General features: G+C 53.9%; 1 protein-coding gene across 8 annotated transcripts in view, besides 9 other annotated features; it reads right to left on the reverse strand.

The window, feature by feature from the left end:
* Window positions 424-938: an enhancer, noted in NCBI's record as "H3K4me1 hESC enhancer chr6:41644810-41645324 (GRCh37/hg19 assembly coordinates)". NCBI's record gives its function as "activates a minimal SCP1, AML or CMV promoter by ChIP-STARR-seq in naive H9 embryonic stem cells {active_cell/tissue: H9 hESC(naive)}" and the evidence as "EXISTENCE:reporter gene assay evidence [ECO:0000049][PMID:30033119]".
* Window positions 939-1,452: an enhancer, noted in NCBI's record as "H3K4me1 hESC enhancer chr6:41645325-41645838 (GRCh37/hg19 assembly coordinates)". NCBI's record gives its function as "activates a minimal SCP1, AML or CMV promoter by ChIP-STARR-seq in naive H9 embryonic stem cells {active_cell/tissue: H9 hESC(naive)}" and the evidence as "EXISTENCE:reporter gene assay evidence [ECO:0000049][PMID:30033119]".
* Window positions 5,607-6,433: an enhancer, noted in NCBI's record as "H3K27ac-H3K4me1 hESC enhancer chr6:41649993-41650819 (GRCh37/hg19 assembly coordinates)". NCBI's record gives its function as "activates a minimal SCP1, AML or CMV promoter by ChIP-STARR-seq in naive H9 embryonic stem cells {active_cell/tissue: H9 hESC(naive)}" and the evidence as "EXISTENCE:reporter gene assay evidence [ECO:0000049][PMID:30033119]".
* Window positions 6,434-7,259: an enhancer, noted in NCBI's record as "H3K27ac-H3K4me1 hESC enhancer chr6:41650820-41651645 (GRCh37/hg19 assembly coordinates)". NCBI's record gives its function as "activates a minimal SCP1, AML or CMV promoter by ChIP-STARR-seq in primed H9 embryonic stem cells {active_cell/tissue: H9 hESC(primed)}" and the evidence as "EXISTENCE:reporter gene assay evidence [ECO:0000049][PMID:30033119]".
* Window positions 6,794-6,873: an enhancer, noted in NCBI's record as "active region_24514". NCBI's record gives its function as "activates an Ori minimal core promoter by ATAC-STARR-seq in GM12878 lymphoblastoid cells {active_cell/tissue: GM12878}" and the evidence as "EXISTENCE:reporter gene assay evidence [ECO:0000049][PMID:35858748]".
* Window positions 6,883-7,177: a silencer, noted in NCBI's record as "tiled region #13964; HepG2 Repressive non-DNase unmatched - State 4:PromP, and K562 Repressive DNase unmatched - State 4:PromP". NCBI's record gives its function as "represses a minimal TATA promoter and a strong SV40 promoter by Sharpr-MPRA in HepG2 and K562 cells {active_cell/tissue: HepG2 | K562}" and the evidence as "EXISTENCE:reporter gene assay evidence [ECO:0000049][PMID:27701403]".
* Window positions 6,894-7,073: an enhancer, noted in NCBI's record as "active region_24515". NCBI's record gives its function as "activates an Ori minimal core promoter by ATAC-STARR-seq in GM12878 lymphoblastoid cells {active_cell/tissue: GM12878}" and the evidence as "EXISTENCE:reporter gene assay evidence [ECO:0000049][PMID:35858748]".
* The window catches only part of TFEB (transcription factor EB), a 52,246-nt gene continuing 33,073 nt past the window's right edge, over window positions 7,330-26,502 (reverse strand). For 7 of the 8 annotated variants that reach the window (NM_001167827.3, NM_001271944.2, NM_007162.3 and 4 more), the window contains 8 exons: window positions 14,353-14,587; window positions 14,015-14,269; window positions 13,083-13,163; window positions 11,260-11,380; window positions 11,105-11,161; window positions 10,446-10,521; window positions 9,442-9,589; window positions 7,330-8,430 (listed from right to left, as the gene is read on the reverse strand). In NM_001167827.3, the coding sequence (NP_001161299.2) occupies window positions 7,951-8,430; window positions 9,442-9,589; window positions 10,446-10,521; window positions 11,105-11,161; window positions 11,260-11,380; window positions 13,083-13,163; window positions 14,015-14,269; window positions 14,353-14,587 (1,453 nt within the window). In that variant the 3' untranslated portion in view covers window positions 7,330-7,950. The remainder of the gene's footprint in view (window positions 8,431-9,441; window positions 9,590-10,445; window positions 10,522-11,104; window positions 11,162-11,259; window positions 11,381-13,082; window positions 13,164-14,014; window positions 14,270-14,352; window positions 14,588-26,502) is intronic. The other variant, NM_001271943.2, reaches the window with a different exon arrangement.
* Window positions 10,763-11,629: an enhancer, noted in NCBI's record as "NANOG-H3K27ac-H3K4me1 hESC enhancer chr6:41655149-41656015 (GRCh37/hg19 assembly coordinates)". NCBI's record gives its function as "activates a minimal SCP1, AML or CMV promoter by ChIP-STARR-seq in primed H9 embryonic stem cells {active_cell/tissue: H9 hESC(primed)}" and the evidence as "EXISTENCE:reporter gene assay evidence [ECO:0000049][PMID:30033119]".
* Window positions 13,978-14,478: an enhancer, noted in NCBI's record as "H3K4me1 hESC enhancer chr6:41658364-41658864 (GRCh37/hg19 assembly coordinates)". NCBI's record gives its function as "activates a minimal SCP1, AML or CMV promoter by ChIP-STARR-seq in primed H9 embryonic stem cells {active_cell/tissue: H9 hESC(primed)}" and the evidence as "EXISTENCE:reporter gene assay evidence [ECO:0000049][PMID:30033119]".

Here is a 26,502-nt window from a genome sequence, read left to right on the forward strand (position 1 = left end):
TTTCCCCTTCTTTAGAGATTGAGATGCCGAAGCCTGGAGAGGCTATATGCCTAGCTCCCCATGTAGGAATCTAGGCTTCCTTCTCCATGATATCCTGCTCACCATGTGTGAGGGGTGCAAACACCATGTGACACAAGTGCACATCTGTGTGTACACACCAAGCACACCTTGCATATGTGTGTCAGCAACGCGTAGGTATTTGAACAATGCCTTTGTATGCGTCTTTGGGTGCACAGAGGATCTACGTGATCTGTGGGTGATGACTGTGCACATGTGCATGCATGCGTGTGTTTGTGCAGTGAGAGGTGTATATGCATGCATACATAGGAGGAAATATGGGGGCTGGAAAGGTTGCAAAGTAAAAACAGCTGGATTCCAGTCCTGTCTCTGTCACTGCCTAGCTGTGTGATCTTATACAAGTTGCTAAATCTCCCAAGACTCAGTTTCTGTGTCATAAAATGAGAATAACACCTATTTCAGAAGAGTTGGGAGTAGAGTTGGCAGACATAGAGCTCATAGAGCACAGTAGGCGCTCCACGTGTGTGTGCTCTTTGAGAATGTATTTGTGTGCACGTGCATGTGTGTGTGCTGTGCAGGCTGTGTATATGGAGCAGTGTGTATCTGCAGAGTGTAGAAGTGTATGGGGGAGCATAACGGGTGAGTGTGCATGTGTGTGTGTGTCTATGCGTGTGCTTTGTGCATACCGGGGGAGTGCCCAGGCTGTGGAGTTATGTGTGGAGTGGGGGTGGGGGTGCACAATGGTCTGACTGTGGCATGTGTGACTATGTGTTTTGCATGCCATGTGTGCATGGGGCAAGGGGGCTGTGCCCAGGCCCCTCATTCTAGGTGAGGCTGAAGTCGAGGGGCCTGGCTGGGTGGAAGTGGGTATCTCTGGCTGTCAGTCCCGTGCTGGGTGGGGGGTGCCCCCGCCAGTGGTGATTGAGCCCCCACTCTCCCACCAGGCCTGCCAAAATACAGCAAGACAGGGTGTAATTACCGGCACTTACCGCGGCCATTACCCCCCTCGCTGCGGCGCGTGACACACGACCCGTCAGCTCCGCGTTTGCACCATTAAGGGGCCTCATTAGCATCCCGGCTCAGAAGCAAAATTACCCTCACTGCTCATTTCAAGATGTCATCAATTTTAATTTAGGGCCCAAAGATAGTACAATGGAAAGGCCCTCCCCGGCCCGCCGCACATGGAGAGAGAGGAGAGGGTGGGGGAGGAGGCTGCTGCGGGGGAGTCAGGGTGGAGGGGATGTTGCATGAAGGGAGAAGAGGGACAGAGGCAGGGAGTGGGGAAAGATGGGGCTGAGCCATGAGGGGAGGAAAATGTTGATATTCCCCCCAAAAAAATGTCCCCAGGGTAGGGCCTTTGCTGGCACCCCCTTGAGAGGAAAGAGGAATTTCGGGCACAATAGAAGGCATGGCCCTGACCCACCCACCCTCTCGAGGGCCATGTACAGTCTAAGATATCTGGAGCCACATCATGTGCTAAATGCAGGGCCGACTTCTTCCCTTCAGTCGTTCCTTTAATTCCTACAACATCCTTAGGAGGTAGACATTGCAATCTCCCATTACAGATAGGGAAACTGAGGCACAGGGAGGCTCCATCACATGGCAAGTCATGGCAGAGCCAACGTTTAAATGCAATCTGGGCCCAGCGTGCAATACACCAGCTAACGCCTGGAATCCCAACATTTTGGGAGGTTGAGGCAGGAGGATGGCTTGAGCCCATAAATTCGAGACCACCTGGGCAACATAGTGAAACCTAATCTCTACAAAAAATACAAAAACTAGCCAGGTGTGGTGGTGTGTGTCTGTAGTCCCAGCTACTCAGAAGGCTGAGGCAGGAGGATCCCTTGAGCCCAGGAATTTGAGGTTGCAATGAGGTATGATCACTCCACTTCTCTCCAGCCAGGGCAACAGGGCGAGACCCTGCCTCAAAAACAAGGGAAGAAAAGCAAGTCTATTTGGCTTTGCTGCTCCCTGCCTTCCTGGACCCGACCTATGGCCTTGTCTTCCTGTCAACATGCCTGGGCCCGTGGGTGGGGACAAAGGTGGCCGCCCACTCGGCCTCATCTACTGTCCCACCATCTCCTCTAATCTGCAGGTACCCCCCTTTGTCAGGCCTTTGCACACTCTGTGTCCAATGCCTAGAATGCCCCTCCCTCTCCTTCCATGCGCCTTCCCTCTCCCCTTGTCAGTCTGGTCCCTCACAACCCAGCTTAATGTCACTTCTACTCCTTTTGCTGAACCCACACGGAATCATGATTGCAGGCTCACATCTGCCTCCCTGTGCCCACTCTGTCACCAGGACCAGCTGGCCTTTATCCACCCACATATCCCCAGCACCCAGCACAGGGCCAGCTCAAAGTGGGTGCTCAGGGTATGCTGAGTGAATGAGCACCCACTTTGCTCCACAAACCCACCGCATCCCAGCCAGTCTTCTCGCCTTCAGGTTGAGTTAGGACTGTTGTCTGGACAGAAAGGGACCACGGAGCTCTCCCCACCCCACCCTCCATTGCTTAGATGAGCAGCTGGGGCTTAAGATGAAGTGGGCAGGGGCTCAAGAGGTGATATTTAGGTCTCTCTGATGGCACAAGAGCAGGTGTGCCACAAATGTTTGTTGAATGAACATTTGACTGAGTATGAATAAATGAATAAATGGGTGAAAAGCACCACTCCCTGGCCACTTTCAGATCCCTCCAGGGACAGAAATCTTAGGCCTCACAGCAACTGGAGGTATCAATACTCCTGGGGCATTTTCATTTTATAAGCAGAGGCTGGGCACACTATACACCCTGAAAGAGATGGAGAAGCTTCCCAGGCAGCTCCACAGACCTCTGGCTGGTGGAGATTTTCCAGAAGGCCTGGTTTGGGAGGTATTAGGGAGGTCCTTCTTGTCTTCTCGGTATTTCCAGCCAGCTCTGCCACCTCAGTCTGTCCTAACCCACAGTGGAGCTAAGGCATGTCCCTGAAGCCCGTGAGCCTTAGTTTCTCCAAGTGTAAAGAAAGAGGCCATACCCCACATCTCAGCTCTTCAGGCCACCATGGCATGAGGCTTGGTGACATGGCAGCAGGAGGGCCAGACCCGGGGGTGGAAGACACAGGCCAAGGGGAAAGGCCAATACCTGCACCACCCTCAGCCCTGACCAGGTCCGGCCTGTCTTCTTTCATGCCTAACAAGCCCCTAGCTCCTTGGCCACTGCATGGGTGAGAGGAGAGGGAAGGGCCCCCCATCCTGAGCCCTGCGCCAGGGTCCTCGCTGGCGGCAGGCGCCGGTCTCCGGCCTCACAGAAGACAGATAGCTCCCTTAATCACTCTGGAAAAGAACCCCAAGCCGATATAATATTATAATTAATTAATTCACTAAAAAGGTATTAAATTTCTCTCCCCCCTGTGGATATTATCTGAATTCATTGACCTTTAGAAAAATCACCCTCTAATTGTAACCAGGTCCAAAAGCATTTGCAGCCCGTCCCTTTTACATTAATAATATCTTCCCAGACTCGGCTCTGGCTGCTTAAATATTGTATAAATTCCACTGCCCCCCTTGGAAAGAACAGAGCAAAGAAAAAAAAGATGAGGCTGGAGAAGTCTGAGAGGGGGATGGGGCCTGGGCCCCAAGAGGTAGGAGTTCCAGGAGGTGAGGGGGCAGGAGGTACACCCAGGTGCCTGGGAAGGGGCTCTCTGGCGGCTGCAGCTGAGCCAGGCAGCTTGAAAGACAGGGGAGGGGCATGGGCTTTGAGATGGAGCACGGGGCATGGGTTGAGAGCTTGAGTGTTGAACCTGAGGTTAGTTTTTAGGAGGCTATGTGTGTGTTTGTCTGGGGAGAAGGTGTGTAGCATGTATCAGACTCTCATCTAAGTTAATGGCGTCAAACAGTAAAGGAAGAATCTCTGCTTTAAAGGAACCATGGATAATGGAAACATGGCATTCCAAGCAGCACATTCCAAGGCCCTGCAACCCCCTCCCCGGCTGCCACTCCAACTCTAGCCTCCCAGGCCCTGTTCTACAGATGGTGGAGCCGGCCGCCCAGCAGATGCAGTTGGACATGCAGAACTTCCTAAGGCTGAAGAGGTAGGTACTAACGCAGGCCGAGCAGCTGATGGGGATAGACAGATGCAGGAACTGGAGCTGAAGACAGCAGGGTCAGGGGCTGGGGCTCTGTCTGCATCCTCCACCCTCACCACCTCTGCTACCCCAGCAGCCTGGCTCCTGCCGAGGGCCCCACAATGGATCCAAGGGAGCTACTGCTTCTCGTCCTCTTAGCTTTGACCTCTTTCTCTGCTTCCTCTCCCACTGTACGTGTCTGTTTGTTCTCTAAGCCTCCCTAAAATGAAGGGGCTGGACAGGCTCATCCCTCCTGTGTCCACACCAGCCAATGTCCTTACTCTGCCTTTTTATTTTTTAGAAACAGTGTCTTGCTGTATTGCCCAAGCTGGAATGCAATAGCATGATCATAGCTTACTGCAGCCTCAAACTTCTGGGCTCAAGCAGTCCTCCCATTTCAGCCTCCTGAGTAGCTAGGACCACATGTGTACACCACCATGCTTGGCTAATTAAAAAAAAAAAAAATAGAGTTAAGGGTCTTGCTATGTTGCCGAGGCTGGTTTTAAACTCCTGGCCTCAAGCAATCCTCCTGCCTCAGCCTCCTGAGTAGCTGGCATTACAAGTGCAAGCCACCACACCTGGCCCTACTCTGCCTTTTAAAAAAGAATTTCCAGGCTGGGCACGGTGGCTTACACCTGTAATCGCAGCACTTTGGGAGGCCAAGGAGGGCAGATCACCTGAGTGAGGTCAAGAGTTCAAGACCAGCCTGGCCAACATGATGAAACCCCATCTCTACTAAAAATACAAAATAATTAGCTGGGCGTGGTGGCAGGCACCTGTAATCCCAGCTACTCAGGAGGCTGAGGCAGGAGAATTGCTTGAACCTGGGAGGCGGAGGTTGCAGTGAGCTGAGATCATGCCATTGCACTCCAGCCTGGGCAGCAAGAGCAAAACTCCATCTCAAAAAAAAAAAAAGGCCGGGTGTGGTGGCTCACACCTATAATCCCAGCACTTTGGGAGGTTGAGGCTGGCAGATCAGCTGAGGTCAGGAGTTTGAGACCAGCCTGGCCAACATGGTGAAATCCCATCTCTACTAAAAATAAAAAATTAGCTGGGTGTGGTGGTGTGCGCCTGTAGTCCCAGCTACTCAGGAGGCTGAGGCAGGAGAATCGCTTGAACCCGGGAGGCAGAGGGTGCAGTGAGCCAAGATTGCGCTACTGCATTGTAGTCTGGGAGACAGAGTGAGACTTCATCTCAAAAAAAAAAAAAAAAAAAAAAAAGAATTTCCTCCATGGACCTGACACTTGGAAAGGTGTTGTCCACCAAATAAATATTGCTGAAGGATGCATTGCCCTCTTATTGAATCAGAGTCGTTCATAATCACCAGCCAGATTCCATTCCAGCCACAAAGTGAGGGTCCTTCAGGCTGGTCTCAGAAACAGGAACACTTTCTGGTGGCTTATTGAAATACCGGAAGTAGTTCCTGGGCCGGCCTCAGCCAAATCGGTAGGACTGCAGGACTCCCAGGCAGGATGGGAGCCACCCAGGCAGACAGCTTGGAATGTACAATGAAGCTGAGACTCCCCCACCCCCACCAGCCGCGGCGGGCAGCTGCCTAGTCCTGGCCCAGGGCACCCTCTTGTGGACAGAACCCCACTCACACCCTCTGTCCTGTCGAATATGCAGTCCATACTCCAATGCCAGAGGTAGTGGCCAGGCTGAAGGAGCCCAGGGGCAGGAAAGCAGCAGGCAGGTGGAGGCGGGGATATCAGTGATCTTTTTCTTTTTTTTTTTTTTTCCTTTTTAAAAATGTTTTAAATATTTATTTCTTTTTAGCAGACATCTGCTGGCAGGAAGGGCTATCCGTGATCTTGAAGGGCTGTGAGAGGAAGCAGGTGGGCAGCCCTCCACTCCACTAGGTCAATCCCCAGGGTGAAGTGGAAGAGCCAGTGGGGTCGGGAGAGACTTCTCAGGGGCCTGAAGGACCGGCCTTGGGACTTCCCGGAGCCTTCATCCCCCGGCCAAGGCAGGCCAAGCCTAGTTAATCAGGTGTCTCACAGAGTTCAGGGCTTGACCCAGACGGGGCTCAGAGGGGTTTCCAGGGCATGGGTAAGTCCCAGGTGGTGGGGTGGAACCTGGAACTAGGAGGAGGCGCCAGCGCCCCGGCTGGCTCAGGCTCCACAAGGTCATCCCCGGCTCCATCTGACCTTGAGATTAATCCTGCAGCCTGCGCCAGCCCGGCCACCATCAGCGCCCAGCCGCCCGGCCCATTTTCCTTCTCTCCCCTCGCACGCTAATTGCTCAACGTTGATTTGATCTCCCGTTCGGCACAGAGGAAATTGCCCTATTAGCCATTTTCATCCCGGGATTTTTTTTTTTTTTTAAATTAGGCCCCTTCAGCCTCTCAGGGCGATGACGGGGAGCCATTTTGGTCTCTGCCTGAAGCGGCCGTGGAGAGCAGAGGGGAACTGGATGAAGCCCGAAAAGCCCTCTCCCTGTTCCCGCCAGGCACCGGGGCTCGAGCAGCCGCCAGTCGAACCCTGACTGTCCCCAGCCCATGTCCCCCTCCTAGGCGAGGTCATAAACACCAACGTCTCCAAGCAGAGGCCCAAGGACTGCAGCTCGGAGGAAAGGCCGCGCCCAGGCCTCGCTGCCAGAGCCAGAGCGGGGCGGGGGGACCCGGGCCCATAACACCCCACGCGCCGTCCTGGACTCCCATCTCCTCCCTGTCTAGCTCACGGGGGTCCCTTTCCCCAGAGCCCTAGCAGGACGCAGCCCCTCAGTTACCGGGAAGCCCGTCTGGCAGACAGAGCGCGAGCGCCGCCTCCAGAGCGCCCAGCTACAGCTTCTCAAGCCGGGTGGCCGCCCACCTGGGGAGGTCACCCCCAGAACAGGGGTGGGACAGAAGAAGCATGCCCCCCACCCCGGGCCCAGGGTGCCCCAAATAAGCAGCTAAGGGCGGCGCACTTGGTTTGTGAGCAACCCTCTCGCCACATCAACTAGTCTCGCTCCGGCCGCCGCTGGAGGTGTGGAACCGGCGTGGCCGCAGCGCCACCTCGTGGCCGTGAGGAGGGACCGTGCCCCCCTCAGCACCCAAACCCCTCGTCTTCCCCGGGCAGGGCTGAGGCGTGTGACAAGCGTGTTCCCTCTTCCCTGTACCCCCCACCCCGACTCCCTTCAGGCAGCATCCGCACTCTGGAGGGGGCCCGCTGGGTTGAATCCTCCCGTTCGCTGTCAGCCCTAGACCCACTCCAAAGAGACAGGACCAGCAAGTACAAAGCACAGTGTTTACTAAAGGCACAAAGTGAGGGGTCGGAGGGCAGCTGCTCTTCCGGCAGTGACCCCTCCCGCTTCTGGCAGCCCCCGCGCTCACACCACCTGGTGGAGAGCTATTAGCACCAAAGTGGGGGGTGCCCACCTGTGGGAGAGCCGAGGACCAGGCTGCGGGGTGGACCTCCTGCCATCTGAGTCCCAAAAAGGCAGGCCTGAGCACCCCCAGGACCAGTTGCCTCAGATGAGGAGCTTCCCGAACCCCTCAAGCATGTCCTTCACTGGTAATGAGGGGCTCGGGCTCAGAAGACAGGGAATCTCCACCAGGCCCTCTTCTCACCTCTAGAACACCCTGCCCCTCCCTGCCCCGCGATTCCATCTCCGGGAGAGGGGCTGAAGGCCTCTTCCCACTGCGCCAGTCAAGAGGGCTGCCCTGGGGGTGCTTCTCCTGACCCCACAGGCTGCCAGACAGGCACTAAGTCCAAACAGGGGCCAACGGGGAGGAGGGAGGCAGGGCAGGTGGCTACTTCACACACAGTGCAGCCTGAAGGGTGGGAGGGAGGTGCCCCTGGCCCTCCCAGCCCCCAGGCCGGCCCCTGTTCCCTGGCACAGGGGCAGCCAGGGTCACAGCACATCGCCCTCCTCCATGCTGAAGCTGCTCCGGCGGCTGCTGGCCTTGGAGGCCTCGGGGGACATGGTGGACAGAAGTGGATCAGAGGCCAGCGGTAGCAGTGAGTCGTCCAGGAGCATGAGGTCCAGATCCTTCTTGGACAGGCTGGGGAATGGGGAGCCATGCCCCGGCGCCAGGGGTTCGGGGTAGCCCGGGGGACCCTCGTCCTCCCTGCCCCCAAAGCTCAGGCTGTGGCTGAAGTCCAGGTGATGGAATGGGGATGGTGGCTGGGTGGGCAGGGGCAGCGGGGCTTGCGGGGGCAGAGCTGGCAGTGGCTCAGGGTCAGGGACCTCAGCCCCCAGCATCAGGGCCTCCCCTGGGCCCTCTTCGCTAGGCAGCTCCTGCTTCACCACCTGCTGGGCCAGCTCAGCCATGTTCATGCCGGACGGGGAGGTGGTAGGGAGGCCGTGCACTCGAGCCTGCATCTCCAGCTCCTGCAGGGGAGCAGACAGAAGGCTGGGGAACACACCTATGGGCACCAGCCACCAGGACCCCTCCCCTGGGCCTCTATCACAGCACTTGCCCCTGCCCTACGGCACCCAAGACCCAAAGTGTTTCCGCTGGAAGAAAGCATAGGGTAGCTCTAGAGTCTAGACCAGTGTTTTTTCAGACTACAAGTCGTAACTCATTAGTGGGTTGTGAAGCCACCGTAGTGAGTCTTGACCAGCTTTCTATTTTTTTAATTGAAATTGACTTGTCTAGACTAGACTAGAATAGAAATTATTAGAATGCATTGCATCTATTAAGGACGAGGGGAGCGTTACTTCATGAAACTGATTTTTCACTTTGTGCCTGTGTGTGCTAGATTTTAATGTAAATTGTGTCATCTACCATAAGAAAGAGAAACAAGGTGCAGTCCAATTGCCCTTTGTGTAAAGGGCCAGCCTCAGGTCTAAAGAGGACAAGAGGCCCTCAACTCAGAGCCAGGACTAGAACTCTCAGTTCCAGCTGGTAGGGCTGACTCTGCCAAGCTCCTGGTTCTTTAGGTTGGCCCTGTGGAGATTCCTAGTGCCACCCACCAAATGATTCCAGCTCTCTACCTTCCAGGCACATGATAGGTTTGCATTTTCCTGCCTCTTGAGGTTAGAGTACTTGTAGAGTGTGCTTGCATTGGCCAAGCCCATTGAACAGAAGTGACATGTGGCACCTTAAGAGTGACAATGGCTTTAAGAGCCAGCTCTAGATGTGCCATCAGAGAGCTGGGTGCCAGCAGCGTGGGTGCCAGAATGAGGGTCTCACAGAACAGAACCTCCAGCTGATATGTGTTGCTTAAAGATGCTGAGGATTGTTTGTTACCAAAGCAAAACATCCTAACTGATACATCCTCCTTCCTAATGGGCATTATTCCTGTGTCTCCAACTTCAGAAGTACAAGTACTGCCCCTTAGGGCCAGGAGCCAGGTTAAGGGTCAGAGTTACCAAAGAAGTCCAAGTTCAGGACCAGACCTGGATACGGAGCCAGAGCTGCTTGTTGGTCATCTCCAGGCGGCGAGAGTGGTTCTCCAGCTCCCTGGACTTTTGCAGGTCCTTCTGCATCCTCCGGATGTAATCCACAGAGGCCTTGAGGATGGTGCCCTTGTTCCAGCGCACGTCCCTGCAGCAGCAGGCCAGGCAAATTAGAGGTGCATGCTCAGAAGAGTGGCCAAATCCTTGCTACTGCTCTGGTTGCAGAGCTTATGTGGCCTGTCCCAGTCTTACCCAGCAACCCCAGACCTGGAGGTGGAGGTGGCTGATCTCAGTTTGCACAGAATGGGCCCTCCTGGTGACTTCTGTTGCCACTGCCCACTTCATTAATCTCATGAAACCAGGCAATTCAGAGCAGCCTCCTTCCCAGACTACCAAGACTCCAGCCCAGCCTACCTTTCTTTTTTTTTTTTTTTTTTTTGAGATGGAGTCTCGTTCTGTTGCCCAGGCTGGAATGCAGTGCAGTAGCGAGATCTCGGCTCACTGCTACCTCCACCTCCTGAGTTCAATCAATTCTCCTGTCTCAGCCTCCCTAGTAGCTGGCACTGTAGGCACACACCACTGTGCCCAGCTAAGTTTTGTATTTTTAGTAGAGATGGGGTTTCGCCATGTTGGCCAGGCTGGTCTTGAACTCATGACCTCAAGTGATCTGCCTGCCTCAGCTTCCCACAGTGCTGGGATTATAGGCGTGAGCCCGGCCTCTTGTCTGCCAGCCCAATGGCCTTAAGAAAACTTTCTCAGCATGACTGCTCCTCCAAGAAGCCTCCCTTGACCTCAGCCTCACTTCCAGGACAGAAACTCATCTGTCTTGAGCTTTCCTGATTCTTTCCTGATTTGGGAGAGGGAGAGATCTTTTCTCAAATAGATGAACTTCTAGAAGGAATTCTCCTCCCATCCTAGTAACTAGCATGGGGCTGAGGGCAGATAATACTTGTCAGCTGCTGCCCACCCAGACCCATCACCCTCCCCCTCAGAAACCTGCTCACAGGTCATTGGCCTTGGGGATCAGCATTCCCAACTCCTTGATGCGGTCATTGATGTTGAACCTTCGTCTCCTTTCAACTAAAGGTAACAGATTCCAGAAGGAGCAATTAGAGGGATGGGGACCCCCCACCCCATGGGGAGAAGTACCCAGCCCAGGGAGGGGTGCTTCAGGGCAGCCTGCAGCTTAGATTTAGTTCTTCCAGGAAGTAAGAGGTGACCAACAGATTGGGATTTCTACAGGAATTAGGGGGTCCAGGGCAAAGGCCAGACACAATTAAGAGCACTGAAAGGTAGAATCAGCCATGGTGATGCTCGTAGCACAGCAAAGCTGCCTGGGGTAGGACTCTTCCCTGCTACACAGAACTCTGATGCCCCAGGTTCCATGCCTTAACCCAGAAAACAACCTGATAAACTGGGGGTTTCATGAATATCCCTTACAGGAATCCTTCCTACCCACTCCTAAAGAGGCCTAGTGGAAAGACAGCACTAATAGTCCCAGGCACCACTGAGCGACAGCAATGGGAGGGCTTAAGCCATCTGCAAGTGAATTGGCCTTGAGCAGGGAAGCCTTCCACCAGTGCAGGTCAGGGAGTGGCTTTTTAGCCAGCCCAGGTGAGAACAAGGAAGAGGGAGGCAGGGAGAGGGGCGGGGCAGGACTCACTTAAGTTGTGATTGTCTTTCTTCTGCCGCTCCTTGGCCAGGGCCCTGCTCTCAGCATCTGGAGGCCAAAAGAGAAGGAGAGAGGAGCTGGGAGGGAGGGAGAAAAGGAGGGAGGAGTCGGGTATTCAAAGGCACAGGGGTAGAGGGAGGCAGTACCTGTGAGCTCTCGCTTCTGGGTCAGGTCCGCAGGGCAGGAGCTGCTGGTGACGCCCACCAGGGAGGCTGTGACCTGGGGGTCGCTGCTGTACACATTCAGGTGGCTGCTGGACAGGGGTAGCTGTGGGGTAGGGGGTGAGGGAGACCCATGAGTATCCCCCTCTCCACGGGGAGCCCCCTCTAGGGCCTATCATCCCAGGAGCAGTCCTTCCTGGGGACACCTGGAGTGTCAAAATTCACCTTGGGCCCTTTCACCCAGCAATTCAACCTGAAGGTCTGCAGAGTCCAGAGCTATTATAAGATGTAGTCCCTGCCCTCAAGGAGCCCCTGGCCTAGAGTGTCTGAGAGAGTGATCCAACCAATAATATGTGATAGGATTAGGCCCCAGGCATTATGGAAGCCCTAGAGCAGGTCATCTAATCAATTCTAGAGTTTCTGGACGGTTTCCTGGAGGGTGTGGAACTCTGAGTCTTGAGCAGAGATGTGAGGCAAGGCACTCCGGGCAGCCACCAGGGCACAAGCAGACAGGGCAGCTTGGCAGAGCACAATTCCAGCAGCTCAAGGGCAGAAGTGGTGGGGGTGGAGGTGCTGTAGGCAGGGCAGATGTATCTGGATCCCCAGTACAGTGTTTGACTTGCAAAGATACTGGAATTTTGGAATGGGCAGCCAAGGGAAGTTGAAGCAGGAGTCTGACAGGGAGAGATCTGAGCTCTGGAAAGATCTGCCACAGAAACATGCAGAACAAATCACAGGCCCAGACACCCCACAGTGTACACAGGAACTACTAAAGGGACCAATCACTTGCATCCTCCCTCCCTCCTCAGCCCTCGCTGCCCCTGCTAGCTGTAGGTTTGGACCCAACCAGTCCCGGCCAGCTCCTACTAAGCCACTCAGCGATGTCACCAGGGCAGTGGGGACAGAGGATTGACTCCCCACCACAGGAACTGGGGACTTTCCCTTGGTGGCATGGGCTGGGGCCAGGATCAGGGTGAAAGGCTCATGCCCAAAGGCAGGAGTAAGTAGCTGAGGTTCAGGAGCTCCAAAGAAAAGTGGGTGGAAGGGGCGCTGGCAATCCCACCTGCCCAGCGTACACACCTGCCACCTTTGTAGAGAGCTTGCCCTCAATTTCTTCCCTCATCTAATCTTCCCACAATCCTGTGGGTAGAGAGCATCACCCCCATTTTGCAGCTGAGAAAACTGGGGTTTAGTATGCTTGAGGGATTTCCTAAGGTCACAGCAAAAGCCAGAAGCCAGGCTTCTTGACTCCAAGCCCAGCACCTCCCCACCTGCTACCCCACCTCTGCCAGGAGACGCAGGAAGCTGCCAGAGGGAGTGTTCCTGTGGTTGGGGACAAGGCCAGCCCCAGATCACTTGCCCCATGGAGTAAGAGACACAGACAGGCTTTTGCCTGTTGGGCCCTGGGTTTGGTAAAGGAGGGGAGGCCCAGGTCCCCAAAGGAGCTCATTAGTTCCACACCTTCCCATAGACACACTGCCCCTCCACCCATGCAGTGCTCTCCCTGCCTCCCTCTGCCCCTTCGCCAACCTGGAAAGCTCCCCCCACAGGCCCACTCCGTGTCCCCAGCCCCTTCTCCCCTCTGAAGCCCCATGGTGCACAGAGGCTGAGGCACATCCTTCTTGCTTCATAATTCCTCTTGGCCCCGGCCTTTGTCACATTATTTAATGAAAATGACTCATCTCTACAGAAACATGCCAGCTCTGCCCAGTGAGAACCCTGTCTCCACTCTCTCCAGGCTCAGAGCCACAGTGGGTGCCCCCCTCCCTAGAACCCTTGCACACCCACCCCACCCTAGCCAGGAGTACCGTGTTGGGCATCTGCATTTCAGGATTGATGTAGCCAAGGACATCGTCCAGACGCATAATGTTGTCAATGACATCATCCAACTGGAAAAGAGAAAAGTCCATCTGGGGAGGGCCCACCACGAGGTGGGCAGGGGAAAGAGGCATTGGGACAACCACTGACCTGGAGGGACCTTGGAGCCCACCTCACCCAACCTACTTATCTGGGGAAAGAGGAAATAGGCCCAGAGAAGAGATGAGCTGTCCAGGTCCCACTGGCCCAACATGAAGCTACGGTTCTTGCCAAGGAGCCTACCTGCCCAGGGAGCTTCCTTGATCTCACTTCTGTCTCTGGCTTGGGGAGTGTGCTGGGCTTTCCTGGATAAGTCTTCTGTTTCTCCCTAGCAGAGCTTTCTTTTTTCTTTTTTCTTTTTTTTTTTTCGAGAAGGAGTCTCACTCTGTCGCCCAGGCTGAAGTGCAGTGGCTCGATCTCAGCTCACTGCAACTTCCGCCTTCCCGATTCAAGTGATTCTCCTGCCTCAGCCTCCCAAGTAGCTGGGATTACAGGCGTGCACCACCACGCCCAGCTAATTTTTGTATTTTAGTAGAGATAGGGTTTCACTATGTTGGCCAGGCTGTTCTCAAACTCCTGACCTCAAGTGATCTGGCTGCCTCAGCCTTCCAAAGTGCTGGGATTACAGGCGTGAGCCACGGCACCTGACTTCCTAGCAGAGCTTTTGAAAGTAAGGATGGCGTTTCCTCTGTGAGGCTCCCTGAGGGCAGGGCTGTGTCTTCCCCCCTGAGATTGGGGCTCCCTGAGAAGGGCTCTGTCCCCACCTCAGACTGAGTCTCCCTGAAGGCACCCCTGCCTCTGCCATTAGACTGGGAGTCTCAGAAGCACAGCAGTGGGCACGAGCTCTGCAAGCAGCATGGCCACTGGCCAGCTCCTCACTCACCTCCCTCTCAGGGTTGGAGCCAATGTGCAGCATGGCCATGGGGCTATTGGGAGCACTGTTGCCAGCGGAGGAGGACAGCACGTGTCCAGCTCGCACCCCTGGGGAGGCGGCTGGTGGGGGTTTCGGAGAGCCCTGGGCTGGGCTGATGTGGGCAGCAAACTTGTTCCCATAGGTCTCGGACAGGTACTCCCGCACCTTCTGATGCTGCGACTGCTGCAGATGGTAGGATGTGGGATTCTCCAGGTAGGACTGCACCTGGGAGGGGGAAAAGGCAAGGGCTCTAGGGGAGGCTGGGACTAGTGGGGACAGGGTGGGGGGCAGGCCAGAACAGGCCCTACCTTCAACACCTCCCCAGGCACAGGTGGTGGCGACTGGAAGTGGACGGGGGTATTGATGGCCGGGGTGGGCGGCCCTCCGAGCTGCTGCTGTTGCTGCTGCTGCTGCTGCTGCATGTAATGCATGACAGCCTGTTGCTGCATGCGCTCCCGCTGCTCCTCCTGCTGCGCCTGCTCCCGCATGAGCTGCATGCGCAACCCTATGCGTGACGCCATGGTGGCTGCCGGCGCTGGCTCCCTGTGGATGAGAAGGGGCAGCAGGTATATGAGGCACGTGTCCTCCTCAAAGCACAGGGGCTGGCAGGGGGAGGCCAGAATGACTGGGACCGCATCCATTTTAGAGGAGAAGACACCGAGCCCTGAGAGGGGAAGAGATTTGCCCAAGGTCACTGAGCAAGCGGGTGACAGCTGAGACATGAATCCAAGTTTCCTGGTTCCTGGACCAAAACTGAAGGTTCTGTCTTCTTCACTCATTGCAGTTGGTAAATCCCAAACTCTAAGAGTCAACTTCCACTCCTCTCTGTGTCACGCCCACATCCTGATCCTGTTAGATCCGACCTCATATCCACCCTCCTTTGCTGCCACAAGGTGGGCCCAGCCTATCCTGGGTCTTACCTGGAATCCCGCAGGAGTAGCCCAGTGTTCAGACTGCCTCCTCTGGCTTGCCCTAGGACGTTCTACTGGCAACTCAGTAGAGCAACTCATTTAACTCCTGTTAAATCCTAAGTCAGATCCTGTCTTCCCCTCTGCTCACAACTCCCCATGGTTCCCACCTTCCTCAGGGGAAAAGCTAAAGTCCTTACCATGACTGGAAAGGCCCCCTAGGATCTGGCCCACCTCGTGTTCCCCTTTGACCCCATCCGCCAGCTCTCCCTCTTGTTTTATCTGCTCCGGCTACATCCTCCAGGCACTTTGAAATCCCCGAAACATCCCAGGCATGCCCCCACCTCAGGACCTTTGCACTTGCTGTTCCCTCTGCCTGGAATGCTCTCCCCCCAGATGACATCATGGCTCACTCCTTCACCTCCTCCAAGGCTCAAATGTTACCTTACAGAGACCTTCTAGGACCACCCTATTAAAATTACAAAGCCCTCCACCACCACTTCCTATGCCCCTTCCCTTTTGTTTTTATTTTCCTCCATATCACTTATCACCATCTTAAATACAATGCATTTTTGCCTAGCTATTTCATTCATTGTCTGTCTCTTTCTTACTGGGAATGCAAACTTCCCTGAGGGCAGGCATTTTCTGTCTTTTTCACTGCTATACCATGGGACTCTGGCTCAGGACCTGGGACATGGCATATGCTGAATGCATGTGTGAAGAAATGTATCTTATTTGTGAGCCAGGCAATGGGGATACAACTGCAGTTCCTGAGCTCATGGAGCCTACAGTGTAATAAAGAGAAGGGCAAGTCCACAGGCTTAGGAGGGCCTGTATGGGGAGGGCCACTTCCAGGCACCTGGCACTGCCAGAGCCCAGAGAGGACTTCCCACCAGCACATCAGCCCTAATCTCCTACAGGTCTCAGTGGGACAGGTGTGACTTAAGCCCCCCAGCCCAGTCTGGAAGGAAAGACAGGGAAGAATGAGTCCTACAGCTTGGCCCACTCTGTCCCTAGCTCATTGACTGACCCTAGGTAAGTGACCCTGGGTAAGTCCCCTCCCCCTCTGAGCCTCCATCTCTCCATGCACAAAATGAAAGGGTTGGACCCAGTAATTTCTAAGGTCCTCCCCAGCTGAGACAGGCTGAGACTCTGAGAGGTGCAGGGCTCCTGAGTGTGTCCAGACCCCATGAAGGTCCTGGTAGGGGCTGGAGGGTCCCATCTTGGGGATATTGCAAGAGGCAGTATGACTTTGTGGTTGAGCAAGGACTTTTGAACTGAGAAAATATGGGCTTGAATCCTAGTTCTGCCACTTCTTTGCTGTGTGACCTTGGGCAAGTCACTTAACCTCTCTGAGAGTCAATTTCTCATTAGTAAACGGTCTCTGCTTCAGAAGATTGGAGCACTATATGAAATTAATAGGTCTTGCACAGTATGTAGCACCTGGGAGGCTGAGTGCATGAGACATGGATGGGCACATGACTGGCAGGCGAACTGATCAGTGTGGACCAGAAGCCAGAGCTGTGTCTCAAGCTCCTAACAATGAGGCCCAGACCTCAGGGGATAGCAAAGGGAAGCAGCAAAGGCTGACATGTTCTGGCTAATACCAGACACTGGACTTAGTCAGCATTAGCAAAAAGAACTGGCAAATATTCAGTGAAAATCACCAGATAATAGAAATAATAATAACTTGAATTTATTTGAGCATTTACTGTATGTCAGGCAATGTTCCAGACTCCTTCACCTGGAAGAGCCCTATGAAGTAGTTCTGCATATTACTCTCCTTTTATAGATAAGGAGAAACAGAAGCACAGGAGATTAAGTGTCTTTCAGCAGTGAAAGGGACAGAGCTGGAACCCAGCCCCAGGCAGCATGGCCTCTGAGCCCATGCTGGGGAGGAGAGGGTCTCCACACAGAGCAGGGAGGAAGCTTATTGCAGGCTGCCTGGCTGCCAGGCCCAGGAATGGAGCCCATGCCACCTGACTGCCAGCCAGGGCTCCTCCCACCACCACTGTGCCTTCCCGACAAGGTAGGAAGGCAGGCAGTGGCCCTCACCCCACCCTCCTTCCTTCTCTGCCCCTCTACACCATGAATCAGTAAAGGGGCTGTCTCAGCTCCTTGGGTCTCTCCACCCAGCTACCAACGGGGCAGTCCCCAGAAAGAAAGGAGCAGATGCCCACCACTCCCTTCCCATCCTGCAGCAGGAACACAGCTGCAGCCTCCACCCATGCCTTTGCCCACCCCCTTCCTATGCTGCTACAGAGGGTTATCCCTGTCTTTGTACCCCCACTGCCCACCACACGCACACTAGCCCTACAGACCTCATAGGCTCTGACCCCAGCCCAACCCACCCCCTCGCAGCTGTACCCTCTACACACCCACCCACACGGCACTGGCTCACCCCCCCACCCTTGGGGACAATCTGACTTCAGTTGGCCCTGGTGGGGGTGTGGGCACCGGGCCTGGCAGTGCCAGCCGGCACAGGGAGGGCTAGGGGAGAATGATCCCCTTGTTTCTCTGACAAAGAGCTGAGCGTCTGGCCTGGCCTCGCGTGGACTGGAGCTGGCTTTGCTATGAGGAGAGCCTGGGCTGGACCCTGCCTCTCACTGGCTGGGCCAGCCTCAGTTCTCTCATCTGCACAATGGACTTGGGAATCCCTGCCCCACCGCCCCCTGCCAGAATCTGGGTGAGCCTCCTGGGAGAGGACGTTGGAGAAGTGGACACAGTGAGGTGTCTGTGCATCAGTGGGTGTCAGTAGCCTCAGCTACTGTCCCCTGACAGAGGCTGGCAGGGTAGTGAGGCTCCCCAACCCCACCGCTGGAGCTGTCACACCCACAAAGCTTGTCCTCCAGTGAAGCTCCAGCCCTCTCCCCTGGCCCTGGTCGCCAGCCTGGGTTGCTGAGTGTGGTGTAGGTGGGATGGGTATGGGGTAAGGGAGGGACCTGAGGGGATCAGAGAGCGATGGGGGTGGTCCAGGACATGCTAATCCCCCCATCCTTAGCCTCCAAGCATGCCTACTCACTCTAAAATCCTGAGGGTCCACTCTCAGCCTCCCCTGACACCCAGTCTAGCCAGGAAGAACTAAGAGGATGGACATGGGAGAACCAAAATGTCCCTGGCCCCTCCCACCATCTGGCCCTTCAGACCCACCATGCCTGGAAAGGGTCCACTGTGTACAGGTTCAGTAACACTGGGGGCCTGGAGTGCCTACTGCATGTAGACACCAGGGATGGGGCACTTCCCTGGAGAGCCTTCTCCCCTGCCCCTCCCAGGTAACACCCTCCTCCTGAGAGGAAGGGTTTGATGCCCCCAGAGAATCCCTGCCTCTCCCCAATCACATGGCTGCCCCCATCAACACCCCCAGGACCCTCCAGCTGCCTCCTGCTGCTGTCCACCCACAGCCTCTCAGCTGACTCTGCCTCAAAGCCCAGACTGGGTTCCAGCTTAGTCATGTCCAAAATGAGTTCTGTAATCCCACAGGCTCACTGCCCCTACTGGCTAGGCGACTTCAGAAAGCTACTTCACCTCTCTGTGCTAGGCTGTCTTCCTCTCTAAAACGCAGCACCTGCTAATCACAGCACCTGCCTTTTGGGGCCATTGGGGGGATTCAAGGTAAGTGTGTGGCAGTCGCTTCATAACCAGGGATCCCGGTCTCCTCTGGTCAGGCCAGAGCTGGTTTCATCCAGTCTGTGTGTGGGCCTTGCCTGTCAGTCATTTACACCTTAGTATGAACCAGCCCATGAATCATGAAATGGTATATGTGTAGACAACAGGAAGATCAGAGTACCAACCGCTAAATGCTTCGTGAATGATTGCCATGGGTCAGGGCTGGTCAATGTGCTTTTCCTAATGTTAATTCTGTTTTTTCTTCCCAACAACCCAATGAGCTGAGTACTAGTATTATCCCCATTTTTCCTGGAGGAAACAGAGGCACAGAGAGGTGAAGGAACTCACTCAAGGTTACACAGCTGATTAAGTAGCAGAATGGAGATTTGATCCAGGCAGGCTGGCTCACAGCCCCCACTCTTTAACTACTATTCTGGGCTCTCCCAGCACCCCAAACTGTTCAGAGTTGTTACCGCTGGGGAGGGGAGTGGGAAGGGGCAATGGAGGGGGAGGGATAAAGAGGGATTTTTATAGTTCTTCGTTCCACTGGAGAAGCACTCAGCTCTTACAGTGGGAATATGTGCGACTTGTGTGATTCTGTTAACAGGAGAAAGGAAGCACAGCAGCTTCTGGGGGTTTATGGGGGGGCCCAACCTGCTTCCAGGGCTTCCAGTCATGTCCAAAGGTGGGTCGCCAAGGGGAAGGAATCCCCCCAGCTCCACCTGGGCTGGCCCAAGCCCTGCCCTGCTCGGTGCAGTGGTCATTAGGCCAGCCGCGGTCCCTGGGTGAGGACACCGAGTGGCCAGCAGAGGCACAGAGCCAGGGCCAGCAGCCACCAAGCATTTGGAGCTGGAGGGCCAGGGCCCCACTCAGTTTCTACCACAGCCCCAGACAAGGGCTTCTGAGGGGAGTACCATCTTCATGCAGTGCCCTCAAACTATTGTCAGCTGACGCCAGTCCATTCAGTGGCTTGTGAGGCCTGAACTGCCTTGGGGATTTTTCTGCCCTCTAAATGATCCTTTAAAACTTGGAGCAGGAAGCTGAAAACACACTCCATGACCCATGGACCCCCTCCTATGCATGCCCACCAGAAAAGCATCCACGTGTTCACCAAAGCACATATACTAGAATGTTTGCGTGTATAGGAACCAAAACTGGAAACCACCCAAATGTCCACTAAAGAAAGATAGATAAAGAAGTGGTGGGCCAGGCATGGTGGTTCACACCTGTAATCCCAGCACTTTGGGAGGCTGAGGCGGGCAGATCACTTGAGGTCAGGAGTTCGAAGCCAGCCTGGCCAACGTGGTGAAACCCCATCTCTATTAAAAAATACAAAAATTAGCCGGGCGTGGTGGTGTGCACCTGTAGTCCCAGCTACTCGGGAGGCTGAGACAGAAGAATCGCTTGAACCCGGGAGGCAGAGGTTGCAGTGAGCCGAGATCATGCCACTGCACTCTAGCCTGGGTGACAGAGTGAGACTCCATCTCAAAAAAAATAAATAAATAAAATAAATTGAAGTGGTGGTACATCCATACAATCAAATGCTACAAAGCAATGACAGCAAATGCACTGTTGTTACACATGACATAGATGACTCTCGCAGACATAATGTTAACGAAAGAACCAAGGCACAAAAGTGTATACAGCATGCTCTGCGTATATGAGTTCAAAAAAACGCAACATTAATCTACTATGTTAGAACTCAGGATCCTAATTACCCTTGGGGGAGTGTCTGGGAGGGGACACAAGATGGCTTGGTGGGTAAGAGGATTAGGAAAGTTTTGTAATTTGATATGGGTGTTGGTGCCATGAGAGTGTCATATTTACAATAATTTGTACAGCTGCTCCCTTACAACTTATAATTTTCTGTATGTGTGTTGTATTCTCATTTTAAAATCACATAAGAATGAGGGCAGACCAGCCTGGCATGGTGGCTCACGCCTGTAATCCCAGCACTTTGGCAGGCCGAGGCAGCCAGATCACTTGAGGTCAGGAGTTCAAGACCAGCCTGGGCAACACGGTGAAACCCTGTCTCTACTAAAAATACAAAAATTAGCCAGGTGTGGTGGCACATGCCTGTAGGCCCAGCTGCTTGGGAGGCTGAGGCAGGAGAATTGCTTGAACCCGGGAGGCAGAGGTTGCAGTGAACTGAGATCACACCATTGCACTCCAGCCTGGGCAACAAGAGTGAAACTCCATCTCAAAAAAAAAAAAAAAAAAAGAATGAGGGCAGACGTTAAATAGTTTAAAAGAAGAGTTAGGGAAACTACCTTCACCAACACCACCCCTTCTCCAAACCCCCCCCCTTCCCCAAGTGTGTCTATGACTTTAAAATGCCTTTGGTACCAGGCACCTTCAACACAACTGCCAGAGCATACCTTGGTACAACCTCTTTGGAAAAGCAATTTGGCAATATATGTCAAAGCCTTGAAAAATATTCACCAGTCCAAGGAAGTAATCATAGATGCAGAAAAGGATGTTGTGCATAAAGATGCACTTCACATTATATGGAAAAAAGTCAAAACTAACCTCAATGTCCAGTTATAGGATAGTTAAATAAATTACGGTGTGTCCCTCCTGATGGACTGCTATACTTACAATAAATAACATGAGGATATGTCAGGTGACAAAATGTAGGATGTAGGGGGAAATTGTATATAAAATCTGATCATCACAATGTAAAAATATGTATAGAAAAACCTCTTGGGAGGAAATATACAAAATTATTACTGACTTCTTTGGATGATGTAACCATAAGTATTTTGTGTGGTTTTAAAAGCCTTTTGGAATGTTATTCTTTCTCTAGAATGAAGATGTATATCTTTCTAATTGAAAAAAAAATATTTTATGCTAACAGCTAATGCTCATAGAATGCTTACTGTGTGCTAGGTACTGTTCAAAGCACCTTATGTAATTATCATAATTATTTCATGATATGAGTGACGTGGGTACCATTATTGTCCCCATTCAAGGAATGAGGAAACACAGGCCCAGAGAGGTGGTCACTTGCTGAAGGTCACAGAGCTAATGAGTGGCAAGGCTGGACCCTGGCAGTCTGGCTGCACCGCCCCAACCCTGGGGCTGGGAGTTTGGCCTCAGTCCTGCATTCAGGGTGAGGGCGGCCACGTTTTGTTTTAGAAATTCTCACTGAAGAAGCCTCCCTGCGATCAAAGAGTTTCAGCGGCTGATCTCGTTCATCCAGCCCAGGAGCCAGAGGGTGTCCGGGATGATGGAACAGTCTGGAATCCCCAAACACAGGCAGAAAAAAAAATTCTACCCTTCCTCAAAGAGCAGAGATAATTTCCTGTATTCCCAGAAAAACATATGTCTGGCGGCTGAAACAACAAAGTGTGCAAGCCCAGAGGCTGGGAGGCCTGTTTAAGCCATTGATGACGCTCTGCACCTCTGTGGTCGGAAGAAGTTTTCTTCTGATTCAGTCTGTTACACTCTCAGTCGTGGGGGAGCTGCCCGGTCAGTCCTGGGGAAAGAAACTGACCGCTAAACAAAAGCTTCCTGAACAGGTTCGAGATTCCTGGAGGCAAAGGAAGGGCTTTGTGGCCTCCTAGGAACCTTTCAGCCTAGGGAAGGGAAGAGAGAAAAAAATACCAAACTTGGGATTTTTCTCAGCCCCCTCTGGCAGAGGAGGCAGCAGAGGAAGTCCTGATGAACTAGGAAACAGAACAAGGACATCACATAATCCTCATGGACAAAGCCATTCCACATTACGGAGGTGGTCATGAGTCACTGTAGGGCCTGGGGAGGGGGCATCAGATGGCCCAGACCCAAACAGAGTGAGGGGTGGAAAGGTATCCTACGACTCCCAGGAGCCAGCAGTCCTGCCCATATGATGCTGTGGGAAAGGCCAAGTGCTTGGGTTCAAGTCTTAGCCTTGGGCTGGACTCAATTGTCTGGGTATGGCCTCAGTCTCCCCATCAGTCAAGCAGGGCTTGCCAGCTGGGGCCACGTCTACCTCATAGCAGTTGTGCTCTAAGTGAGGAGGCTGGGTGTGTAAGTTGTCTTGCAGGTGTGAATTTGTGGGCAGAGGGGAGGTGTCACCATTCTGGTCACTGTTCAGTGTTGCTCCGTCCAGGCCCACTGGGGGCATCCCTGCATAAGTTCCTTTGGGGAAAGTGTCCCATCCATTCACCCATTCATTCACACATACACACATACACACCATCTGAAAGCCCAGACTGGGGCAGAGCAGCCTAGTGGTAACCCCAGCTTCAGTCTCTCCTTACTAGATAGGGGCAGGAAGGCCTCAGGCCAGCTTTTCCTATTACCAGGAGCCCTCTGTTTCCTCTCCAAAAGCCTTGGGTCTTTTAAGATTTTCTTTTCCAGAGCTTGTATATCATGTCATTCACTGCAGGAGATGAGAGAGGCAGGTGAGCAATAACAATGTCCACTCCTTTGGGTTCTAAGGGATAAGTAGTCGGAGTGTTTACCACAGTTCCTGGCACACTGGAGATACTTCATAATATAGCCTTTTATTATATTAGCTGGCAACTTCCGATACAGAAACATAGCAAACCCAGGACACCTGGTAAGTGTGCACTGTTTGATTGAAAGGTCCTTGATATCAGAAGCAGAAATGAGGTCAATGGGACACGCACATGCTTTTAACAGTTTTAATGCCATGTTTTGGTCTTTTTCCCTTTTAGTGAAGTGTAACTTATCCTAGCAAAATGCATAGATTTGTAGTGTACAGCTCAATGAATTTTTACAGGTGTGTGGCCTTGTATAATCACTGTTTAGATCAAGATGGAGAATGTCACCATCACCCTGGCAGGTTCCCTCCGGGACCCTGTCCTGCATCACCATGGCTGAGTGCTATGGTCTCCAACAGCACACAAAGGCTGTCATGCAGGATGTGGTCTTCAGTATATTTCATGAAATGGAACCGCTCTGCCAAGTGGGGACACTTACTGAGGACTGACCAACCCCTATTTGTGATGAATAAAGATCAAGAAACAAAAGAGGCTGGGCGCGGTGGCTCACGCCTGTAATCCCAGCACTTTGGGAGGCTGAGGCGGGCGGATCACAAGGTCAAGAGATGGAGACCATCCTGGCTAACACGGTGAAACCCCGTCTCTACTAAAAATACAAAAAATTAGCCGGGCATGGTGGCGGGCGCCTGTAGTCCCAGCTACTCAAGAGGCTGAGGCAGGAGAATGGCGTGAACCCGGGAGGCGGAGCTTGCAGTGAGCCGAGATCTCGCCACTGCACTCCAGCCTGGGCGACAGAGCGAGACTCCGTCTCAAAAAAAAAAAAAAAAAAAGATCAAGAAACAAAGAATGAATTACATGAGGAAGCAGAGGCTCCAAAAGGGAGATCTGCACAATGCGCTTCAGTGGCAGCAGAGCAAGACCCCAGGATGCGTTCTGCACCGCCTCTCCCAGACCCCCTGCAGGAATGCGCTGCGGGAGACTGCAGGGCTGGGGGCAGGGGGCAGTCAGGGGCTTGTTTTTAAATCTCTGAGCACCAGCAGGAGGTGGGGAGGAGGGAAAGGAAGGAGAGGAGAGAGGAAGGGCGGTCACACAAGCTCCTGGCCCACTTAATGGCCTCCTGTTCCCACAGCTCAGGCCCATCAGCCCCAAGTTTCAGCTCACATCCCACAGGAAAGGGTGGGAACTGGCGCCTCCTGGCTGGTCAGACTGTTGGCCCGGGACAACAGGGGGAGCAGCTTCAAAGGCCATTGCAGACCAGGGAGTCGCCCTGTCCTGTCCCACTGGGACCAGCTGGGCCCTGGCAAAGACGACTGCCACTGGGCATGGCAGGACAGGGACGAGGGACATGTAGCTAATAGGAACATGAAAGGAGAAACTAGAAAAGGATTCCACCCCTGTGATATGCACGGACCGGCCCAGCCACCCATGTGGACGCTCTGTCTCTCCGTGTCTGCTTCTCTTTCTCTCTTCTCTCTCACACACATGCACGCACACATGCACACATGTCCATGTGCACACACGTGTAGCCGCATCCCTCAGCTGCCGCTTGCAGTCTAAGGATCCCCTTAGCAGGCAGCCACCTTTCTCCTGGGTTGGGGAGTGGTGGGACTGAACCCCCACCCCTTGTGCCCCTGCACCCGCCTCCTGGGCACTCCATCTACTCCAGCCTCCTGCCTGTGTCTGCCATGCTTTGTTCTCTAGTTGTTTCCTTGCCACCTACCAGTCTCCTCAGCTACAAGGAAGTTTCAGAGAAATCACTTTTCTTCTTCAGAACCTCCACACCATCCCACCCATCAGACTTTCCAGAAAGAGATGCACGGCCCTCAAGGGCTGCTGGTCCAGTGACCCCCACACACTCAGTTATCACCCACTTGGCAAACGCTCCGAGTCCCTCCCACATTGCACTGCGCAAGGGGCCTCTGTTCAATCACATTCATCCACACAAACACTTGATGGGATAAACAGCAACACAGCAGGATAGGAAACCGAGACTCAGAAAGGTTAAGTAGGCCAGGCGCAGTGGCTCATGCCTGTAATCCCAGCACTTTGGGAGGCTGAGGCAGGTGGATCACTTGAGGTCAGGAGTTCGAGACCAGCCTGGCCAACATGGTGAAACCCTGTCTCTACTAAAAATACAAAAATTAGCCAGGCGCGGTGGCACATGCCTGTAGTCCCAGCTACTTGGGAGGCTGAGGCAGGAGAATGGCTTGAACTCAGGAGGCAGAGGTTGTAATGAGCTGAGATCGCACCACTGCACTCCAGCCTGGGCGACAGAGCAAGGCTCCGTCTCAAAAAAAAAAAAAAAAGAAAGATTAAGCAGCTTGTCAGAAGTCACACTGCAAGAGCACAGTGAAGTGGGGGTTCAAGCCCAGGTCTCTCAGGTATGTGACCACCAGCAGCTCCAGCCCAGGAGAGGTAACCTGGGGCCCATAGGAAAGGTCTCCCCATGTAGATGGCTTGTTGTCCCCTGCACTCCCAGTCCTGCGCCCCCCTCATCCCATGTCACCCTCAGCGAATCCTACAGAGGTTCCCCAGAGAGGCCTGCATGCTCCTCAGCCCTCCCAGACCCCACCCACAGATGCTTTTTGCTAAATAGCCAAGACATCCATGCCCAGGAGGCTCAGAGGGTGACAAATCTGAATCTCGCTGAGACGGTTAGCCCGCCTGAGAGCCTGGGTCGGAGGGGGCGGAAGGGGAGGCTATATGAGTTGGTCAGACAGAAATGTGATTCCAGGGATCAGAGATCTGGCACCAGACCATAGTGAGGTGAGGGTGGTAAGGGTTGGGGGAGGAGTGGGACTCAGCCATAGATGGCTCCTAGGACAGGAAAGGGGCCTGAGGGCGATAGAGGGGTTTAGAGACTGAAACTCCACTTGCCCCAAGTACCCTCTGGCCCACCCCAGCGAACCTGCTCATGTCCCCTGCAGGAAAGATCAGCTAAAGTTTTCATGGATGCTACGTCAGCCTATGTGGTCAATGAGGTCCCTCCCCAGGGAAGGTGAGGCCTAAGACTCTATCTGATTGGTCAGTTCATGCCATTGTGGACTTGGGGCCCACAAGCTCTGACTCTCTGAGATGAGTCTGTTTTGCAAGGACTCTCTCAGCCTCCACAGGCCCAGCACAAAAGCCTACCTAAGGCCAGAGTGGGACTGGAAGACCTGCATCGGTATGCACCACCCAGCTGCGTGACCTTGGGCAAGTCCTGTCCCCCTCTCCGGGACTCAAGACCCTCACAAATAACATGCAGAGGCTGTGTGGGACCTCTCATAGGCTCCCTGCCGCCTGCCTGGTGTGCTGATGGTTCTGGCAGCATGGATGTGTGGAGGGCTGGTCCGGTGGAATCGGCCTGCAGGCTGGGAGGGGAAGGGCCAGGCACCGGTTTCACTGTCCCATGTGCTGGCTGCCCCAGCATTGGGGAGCTCCCTCTCCAGAGCCATGGCAGCCTTAGGATCCAGCCTTTGCTTTTCCATCTCCTCAGGAGAAAAGAATCCACACT

This window comes from Homo sapiens, chromosome 6, assembly GCF_000001405.40.
Source record: "Homo sapiens chromosome 6, GRCh38.p14 Primary Assembly".
Lineage (NCBI taxonomy): Eukaryota > Metazoa > Chordata > Mammalia > Primates > Hominidae > Homo > Homo sapiens.